This window comes from Homo sapiens, chromosome 12 (assembly GCF_000001405.40).
Source record: "Homo sapiens chromosome 12, GRCh38.p14 Primary Assembly".
Lineage (NCBI taxonomy): Eukaryota > Metazoa > Chordata > Mammalia > Primates > Hominidae > Homo > Homo sapiens.
The window spans coordinates 113,658,621-113,667,603 of NC_000012.12; the positions used below are offsets into that span (position 1 = coordinate 113,658,621).

Here is an 8,983-nt window from a genome sequence, read left to right on the forward strand (position 1 = left end):
TTACTCAGGAACCCAGCTAGAGGAGCAGTCACTATTTTTAGGACACTGCTATCTCAACATATGTTTCCATAATCCATGCAGCAGAGAAAAAGTGTGCTGGAGAATCAAGTACAAGCAATTAAATGTTTGACCAAGAAGCAACACAATTACTCTTGTTCAAATTTAATTTGGCCAGTCACATCACCACATCTAATTTCAAGGGAAAGAAGACTTGTAACCCACTTGTACCTGGAAGTAGAGACCTAGCTATTGATGAACATTAATGATGTCTACTTCATGCAATAAGAGATTTTTGGGGTCTGAGAAATTGGGTGACCAGGAGTGGCTACCTCTAGATATGAACCTTATTAGTTATTAGCAGCAGCATTTCCACCACTTATTATTTTTGTACCTCTTTATATTCTACAAAGGGTATCCACAGCTTACTTGATCCCTTCAGTAACAGTAACTGACATATATTTTTAAACCGGTAACAAGGTAGCTACCAGGCACTTTCCATATGTTGTCTCACCTAATTCTATGAGCACTGTATTACTATAAATCCCCGTTTTACAGACAGAGCAACTGAGGCTCAGAGAGGTTAAGTGACTAGCCCAGCGTTACACAGCAGTAAGCAGCCATGCTTCCAATTCTAGCTGTGCTTTTCTCTTACGGAAGGAAAAAAAAGGGTTGACAAGTCCGAGATGGTTGATTATGTGAAACTAGTCACTTAAGTTAGCCAGAAAACCTCCTCTTTGAATGACTAAGTAGACTCAGTGATCGTTTTAGGCAAAATCTATGATTTCCAAATTATCTATTTTCTCCCCTTCCACCAGATGTATCTTGATCTGTCTTGAAGGCAGGCATCAATGAACAGAGCAGGGGTGGGTTGGTTTGCGGGGTGCAGTGTGGAGGGGAGGGGAAAGAGGCTTTGCGATGGTGCTGAGCAGTGGCAGTCTCAGGGGCGCAATCAGCAAGTGTCCAGAGGTGGGAGGGGGCTTCTTAGCAAGCTTAGTGTGATCAGAGGTGATGCCCCATCTGTCTCATTGGAGCCTCAGGCCATCTGTTTTCCTGCTGTCTCCAGGAGCTGCTGACCTGACCCCTTTCACCAGCATTTAAAGGAAGAAGTTTTGAAACATGCTTGTGCCAATGAGCCCCCCAAAACCGTGAATCAGAAGGAAACGTTTTAGAGCAGCATTGTTTGATAGAACTTTCTGCAACTGTGGAAATGTGCTTCTGCACTGTCCCAATACGGAAGGCAGTTGCTACATGTCTTGAAATGTGGTTAGTGGGAATGAAGAACTGGGTTTGTCATATTATTAAATTTACATTAACTTAAACATAAATAGGCACATGTGGCTGTGGCTACCTTATTAGATAGTGTAAGTTTAGGAAGCACTTCCTAAAGAAGACACACCTTTACGTAATTCACAGACAACAATTTTTTTGTTTGTTTGTTTTGTTTTTCTGAGACGGAGTCTCGCTCTGTAGCCCAGGCTGGAGTGCAGTGGTGCGATCTTGGCTCACTGCAACCTCTGCCTCCCGGGTTCAAGTGATTCTCCTGCCGCAGCCTCCCGAGTAGCTGGGATTACAGGTGTGTGCCACCACGCCCAGTTAATTTTTTGTATTTTTAATAAAAACGAGGTTTTGCCATGTTGGCCAGGCTGGTCTTGAACTCCTGACCTCAAGTGAGCCACCTGCCTCGGCCTCCCAAAGTGCCGGGATTACAGGCATTATCCACTGTGCCTGGCCGGACAACAGTTTTAAATAACCTACAATTACATGATGAGAAGTTATTCTTTCTGTTGTCTTCCTCCAACTTTGGGATTCCAGCCAGGAGGAAGTCTTCTTTGCTGCTGATAGGTTTTTAACACTTTTCTAACAATTGCTCACCTCCCTTTTCAACAAAGAGGGCAAAAGCAGGCCTGGGGCCTTCCACAGATAAATGCATTTGGCTTACATTTAATAGCATCGTTTTGTTATTTTTACTTGTATTTATTTGTATGGTTACCACCAATTTGTGGCAAGAGAAACAGATTTTCCATTTATGGTAGTGATACAGAGTTTCATTTTAAAATAAAAATTTAAAAGTAGAAAAAATGAATTCACTTAAATAAAAATATTGAATTGGTGGGACAGTGAACATATGGAATATAGATATGAAATGGATTGTGATGGTGGTATACTAACGGCCAGGTTTCTTCCTAAGCCAGTGTTATTTTTTAAAAATAAAGTTTATATTTTGGAATAACTTTAGATTTACAGAAAAGTTGGAAAGCTAGTACAGAGGCTTCTCATATATCCTTGGTCCAGATCTCTGCTAAAGTGACCATCTTACATAAGCCTGGCATATTTGTTGAAACTGAGAAATTAACACTGATGCAACACCATGAACTAAACTCTAGACTTTATTTGGATTTCACTGGTATTTCCACTCATGCCCTTTTTCTGTACCAGCATCCATTCCAGGGTACCACAATGCATGATCTAAGCCAATCTCTTCCCACCTTTCATCTGTCAGGATGCCAGGCTTGTCTGGAAGAAGATGCTGGAACCAGCCCAGAAACTTCCCAGAATAGTCCTGCAGCCCCAATCTGAACATTCTCACAGTGGATTTCATGGCACAACACAGATTCATGACCCTGAATCCTGCAAATGAAAACACTTGCCTTTGTTTTTCACCCCTAGGTTGCAACGTGGCATGCTATCTACCATTTTGACTTGGGGTCGTTAGCTTGGTTTACTCTTCTTTTTTTTTTTCTTTGGGAGCCATTGATTTCATGGGTCCCAAGAATAAAACTTCATAATTATCCTTCTTGTATTTCACTTCAGTAGATTCAGCTGAAAGACTTGCAGGAGAAACCTAGGAGCCTTTTGGTTTCAGTGAGGGGGAGAGTTCTGTGGGGAGTGGTGAGGAAGCTTTTCAGGGAGGAATTAGAAGACAGAAGCTAAGAGAGTTTTCCCTGGAAGTGAGGGAGAGTCTTATGATGTATTATAAGTATTCCATATTACTTATTATATTATACAGTATTCCATCCCCACCTGATGGTCATCATATTATACAGTATTCCATCCCCACCTGATGACCATCATAAAATCTCTGCTTGCATACCACCAGCAACGGGGAGGTCACTCCCTCCCAAGGCAACTCTTCTCATCTTTGAACAGCTCTGAATTGGACTCACAGATTTTCCCCATTTCTCCGTGTCATTCACTTGTTGGTTCTCTTCCATGTGACAGCCTTTTCTCTCTTTCAAGGCCAATACACATTCTCCAAGAGAATTTCATTTCTAAGTAAGGCTGCTCTTCCCAAAACAATTTCAAATTTATAATCCAGGATAAAACAGGATATTTTGAGTGTGGGGCTGACCAGTTCAGAGTAGAGCAGTAGTTTTAAATTGAGGGAGATTTTACCCCCAGGCAACATTTGGCACTATCTGGAGACATTCATTTTTGATTATCACTGTGTGTGTGTGTGTGTGCACGCGTGCGTGCACAACTGGCATCGGTGGGTAGAGGCCAGGGACGCTCCTCCACATCCTATAACGGTCAGATGCCCCCTACAACAAAGAATGATTGTGCTTGAAATGGCAATAGTGCCAAGGTTGGGAATCCTGGAGTAGAGAATTCCAGTCTCTTTCTCTCTCTATTTTTGAGACAGGGTCTTGCTCTGTTGCTTGGGCTGGAGTGCAGTGGTGCAAACCATGGCTCATGGCAACCTCTACCTTCTGGGCTCAAGTGATCCTCCTGCCTCAGCCCCCTGAGAAGCTGGGACCACAGGCAAGCACCACCACACTCGGCTAATTTTTTTTTTTTGTAGAGATGGAGTTTCATCATGTTGCCCAGGCTGATCTTGAACTTCTGGGCTCAAGCGATCTGCCTGCCTTGGCCTCCCAAAGTGCTGGGATTACAGGCTTGAGCCACTATGCCCAGCCTCCAGTCTTTTCTTTTATGACTCCATTAAAGCAGCCAAGGATGGGATTAGCCTTGCAGTCAGGCACATCACTCCGATGATTTGGAGTAAGTATACTCCAAAAATCTTTTGGTCTTTGTCTGCCATAGGCTAGGACTATGAAACATCTTCTCCACCCCGAACCTGAGTAAGTCTAAGGGAGCAGAGAGTCTTGCTCAAGGTCTGAAATAGTCTCCAAATGTGTCTGTGCACTCTGCTCCATCTCTACTGTCAACCCCCAACACGAGCCACCATCTCTGCCCTGAGTTACTAGAACATTGCCCACGCGAATGACTACATAGCACTTAATAATAACACGTGCCCATATGCCCTAGTTGTTTACATATATGGACTATTTTAAGCTTCATGATGGCCCTAGGAGACGGGTATGATTGTCATTTTGTCCATCTTTTAGATGAGGAAACTGAGTCCCCAGGTGGCCAGGTAACTTGCCTGAGGTCATGCTAATGGGAGTTGGAGAAGTGGGGTCTTCCATGCCAGGCCATCTGGCCCCCCAAGTCTGTGCTCCTGACGCCCCGCCAAGCACGTGGCCTCTTCTTTCCTCTGCAGTGGGAACTGAGATGAGGAGCTTTGTCCAACTGGAAGTGCAGAAGTCACCACTGGAGGGTTTTATGCAGGGGAGTGACGTAAACAGGATCCCATTTGCATTTTTACAAGGTCACACAGGTGCTGGTAGAGAATGGGTTACTTAAGTTAGCTGGAAAATCTCCGATTTGAATGATCAATAGACTCAGTGATTGCTTTGGGCAAAATCTATGATTTCCAAGTTCTCTTTATTTTCCCACTTGGCTGTGCAGCCTGACCTCCTGAGGCCTCCCCTTGGCACCCACACTCTATCATACTTCTCACACACATCCGGCACCCCTTCTCCTTCAGGTCTTTGCTCTGGCTGGCACCTCCTCCTGGAAAGCCTTAGGGTTCCAGCTCAGGGACACCTCCTCAGGGATGCCCACCCTGATTACGCCTTCTCCACAGGCAGACCTCCATCCCCAGTACTCACCCCTCGTTAGCCTCAGCCACACACCCTGTTTATGTCCGTTATCGCGATGTCACAGTCTGCCACCATTTTTATTGATTGACTTCCCTGCTATGGTTTGTCTCCCTGACTCTGTGAGCTCCGAGACGAAAGGGAGGGAGCTTACTCACCGCCGTATCTAATCTCAAGCACCCAGAACAATGCTCTGGGGCATGCAGTAAAAATAATAATAATAATAAATAATAGAGTAGCCATTGCTATTTCTCGTTCCCATTTTATAGAATAGAAAGTCAAGATTTAGAGAGGTTGAGTAACTACCCTAATCACACATACCGTGTGTGTGTGTGTGTGTGTGTGTGTGTGTGTGTGTGTGTGTGTGTGTATGTGTGTGTGTGTCTCACAGGGGACAGGGCGTCAACCCAGGCAGTCTGAAACGGGCATCCAAACTCCACCCTCACACCATCTCACCTCGCCCTGGACCTCCTGGCTGCACCTCATCTCCGTAATGCATCAGAAAAGCCCTGGGTAGGGAGAGACCAGGGGCAGAGCAGAAAGAGAGAAAGGAACAAGAGAGAGTTAAGGAAGGACCTGAGAAAAAGAGGCTGAGTTGGGAGCGTGGAGAGGAGATTGTGGGAGGGGATATGTAGGGGAGAGATTTTTCCCATCAATTAACACAGGCTTCATAGAAACAGAAAGTATTCCTGGCAGTCTTGCCCTCTTAATACATCATATCTCTAATCCCCGGAGCCCTCTGACCTTACCCATAATCCCTCCTCTTTTGTTCTGCTGCCTAAACCCTTCCTACCCTGAACCGAGTATTACATCCCTGGTGAGGTCTGAGCAGAAGAAAGAAGGTGGCAGGGAGCAGGCCTGGGGGTTGGGGGAAGTGGAAGAATATACATCCTCCTAAGTGTTTGACCAACAAAATCGAGCTAAATTCCCCAGCCCGAGCAGTAAACTGTTCCTCTGAAAGGCCCGGGAGCCTCACCCTGTCTCTTTGGAGCCTCCCTGGCCCCCCTCCCCTTCCCTCCTGGCTCCCCTGCCGTAGCTGAGACACAAAGCTGGGCCCTGGATTATCTTAATTTCCATATGGAGAGCTGTGTAAGCCAGTTCAATGCATGGCCAGTCATTTTGTTCACAACTTTGCAGCAAGCAGGAGCAAAAGCCGCTGGGAAATTAGCCATTCATCCTATCTCACCTTGTGTGTGCATGCATAGATCAGTAAATACAGAGGCACGGGGAAACCGAGTCTTCTTTGTTAATTACCACATTGGGCCCTGCCGCTTCCCTGAAATTCACTGCAACTCTTGGTTTTTGAGGAAAACACACACACACACGTACACACAGATGCACAAACACAAACACACACTTATGTACATGTATATATTTTACATTCACTTTTAAGCAGCACTGGGGCAATGAGGCTTACGTATTTGTGTTTCTTGGAATTGGGCAGCCAAGGGGGGCTATCGGGACTCTCCCTATCCGTCTCCCTTGCACACACAGACACAGTACACCTCACCTCTATATACACACAGGGCCTACCTCACCCCTATACACACACAGGGCCTACCTCACCCCTATACACACACAGGGCCTACCTCAACCCCTATACACACAAAGGGCCTACCTCACCCCTATACACACACAGGGCCTACCTCACCCCCTATACACACACAGGGCCTACCTCACCCCTATACACACACAGGGCCTACCTCAACCCCTATACATAAACAGGACTTGCCCCATCCCTATACACACACAGGGTCCACCCATCCCTATACACAGGGTCCACCCCATCCTACTCTCTTACACACTCATAAAGTCTACCCTGTCCTACTACACACACACACACACACCATCTCCTTCCTATCTATATACAACTACACACGTACCGTCTCCACTCTATCCATACACACACACCACCCATCTCCATCCTATCTATATACGACTACACATGCCATCTCCTCCATCGTATCCACACACACACACACATCTCCATCCTATCCACACACACACACCATCTCCATCCTAGCTACACACACACTCCATCTCCATCCTATTCACACACACACACACCATTTCCATGCTACACACACACACACACACACACGCAGTACATGCCATCCTCCCTCACACTCCCACAGTCTGCCCCTCCCTTCACTCCATCCCCAGTCAAATTCTGAGTAATACCATCTGACAGCATCTCTGGGCCTCTCTCCCCTGACCTTGATGGGGTCTACATCTTCCCTGCGACCCCCAACCTCTCCCCATCCTGGCATTCCCCCCAGGTCTGGGTGGGCTTCTCCATCAGCCGGCCCCTCTGCCTTCAGGATGTCCTCAAAGCCTCCCTGCTGTCTCCAAGGTTCTCTGCACCTCCACCAGCCCCTTCCACCTCCTAAGACTTTAGAGCTCCCCTCGACCCCCCAGGATCACCCTCAAGCAAAGCTCTGATCTCCCAGTGAGCCTGGCCTGGGGTGGTTTTGTGTGCCCCCAGCCGGCCTTCTCGGGGATCTCTGTGCAGGGTTGCATGTCGCCCCCTCCGACACCAAACTCAGGACTGGGGAGGGGTGGGTGCCCAGGCAAGAGGAGAGAAGAGAGAGCAACGGGGTCTTTAGGAGGATCGGGAGAGAAAAGGGAAGATGGCTAAAGAAATAAATAGCCCAGACAAAACACCCCTGGAAAAAGCTTCCAGGAAGTTCAGAGAGGCCCAGATGGGGAGGGAGAGGGAAGCCGGAACAAGAGGGTGTGGGAGAGCTCAGGATGGCCTCCTAGGTGTTTGGGGTTGGCCTGTCACTGTCACCGCAGATGAAACCCTGCATAATTGTCCTCCATCTATTTCCTCACAGTCAACGCAGTTCAGGGAGCTCTCGGGGAGCACTTGGGGAGCACTCCAGGAGCCTGGAGGCAGAGGCTGCAGTGCAGTTCCTAGCTCTGCCTCTTCTCAAGGTAAACCCCTGCACCTGTCTGAGCACCACTCGCCCGATCTGAGAAATGGGTCAAGGCTGGGACCCACCTGAAGGAGTTACCATCAGGATCTAGTGGGTGATGAACCAGGGCAAGTGGCAGGTGCAGTGGGCACACTCCATGGGTAGGGGAAGCCGGGGTGGTGGTTGCTGCTGTCACCTCGGAATCTGGTATAGAGTGAGTGTTCAATGAACAGTGACAACCAAAGTCTTTCCCATGACAATACCTCACATCCAGCGGGTGCTTCAAGATCGCCAGCCGCAATTGCTATTGTGGCTGTGAGTGTCATAGTTACTATTGTCATACTTCTAGTACTAGTACCACTTCTGCTATGTCACAAAGTCTGGAATCCAATAGGTACTTAATAAATGGTAGCTAACACCATACCACAAATCAAGAAACCCAGGGAAATGGCCCCTGCACAGAATGTCATAATATAGGGAGAAATGACTCAGAATAGGAGGCCAATTTGACTGGAAAAGCTTCCTGGGGCAAGCACTTCCCACTTGGGCCCTGGAGGGTGAGTAGGAGCTGGTCAGCAAAGTGAGGCAGGAAGCCTCGCTGATGTGTGCAGCTGAGAGGGTGGGACAGGGTGAGGCCACCTGAAGGTTTGGGGAGCTTCCTCCTTGTCTGGGGAGAGAAGACTCTGCCCAGACCCCTGGGGAAGCTTATAAGGCAGAGAGAGGCTCTGTTTTTTGCAATGGCTGAGAGCTTGGACACTGAAGCCAGATGCTTGGCACGTGACTTTACCTCTCTGAGCCTCAGCTTCCTCATCTGTGGAATGGGGATGATAATAGGGCCTCTCATAAGGTTGATGGGGAGGGATTGATAAGACATGTGAAGCATGAAGCAGTTTCTGGGCCCAGCAAGTGCTCAAAGAATGGTGGGTATCACAACCTTGATCTTGACAAAACTGCCCCTCCCTATCCCCCCAACCTCAAATATCCCATGTGAGCATTCCTATGCTGCCTTGATCATGAAAAGCTGGAACTTTTCTCTCCTAGGCACAAGGCTGTTGTCAAGCCAATCTGCAAACCCCTACTGCAGCAGGGACCCCATCTCCTTCCCCTCCCCACCTGGTATCCCCA

The 8,983-nt window shown here is 47.6% G+C and overlaps 1 annotated feature.

Annotated features, from left to right (window-relative positions):
* Positions 4,770-7,380: an enhancer, noted in NCBI's record as "VISTA enhancer hs1571". NCBI's record gives its function as "enhancer in: midbrain (mesencephalon)[5/5] | forebrain[4/5]" and the evidence as "EXISTENCE:transgenic organism evidence [ECO:0001131][PMID:17130149]".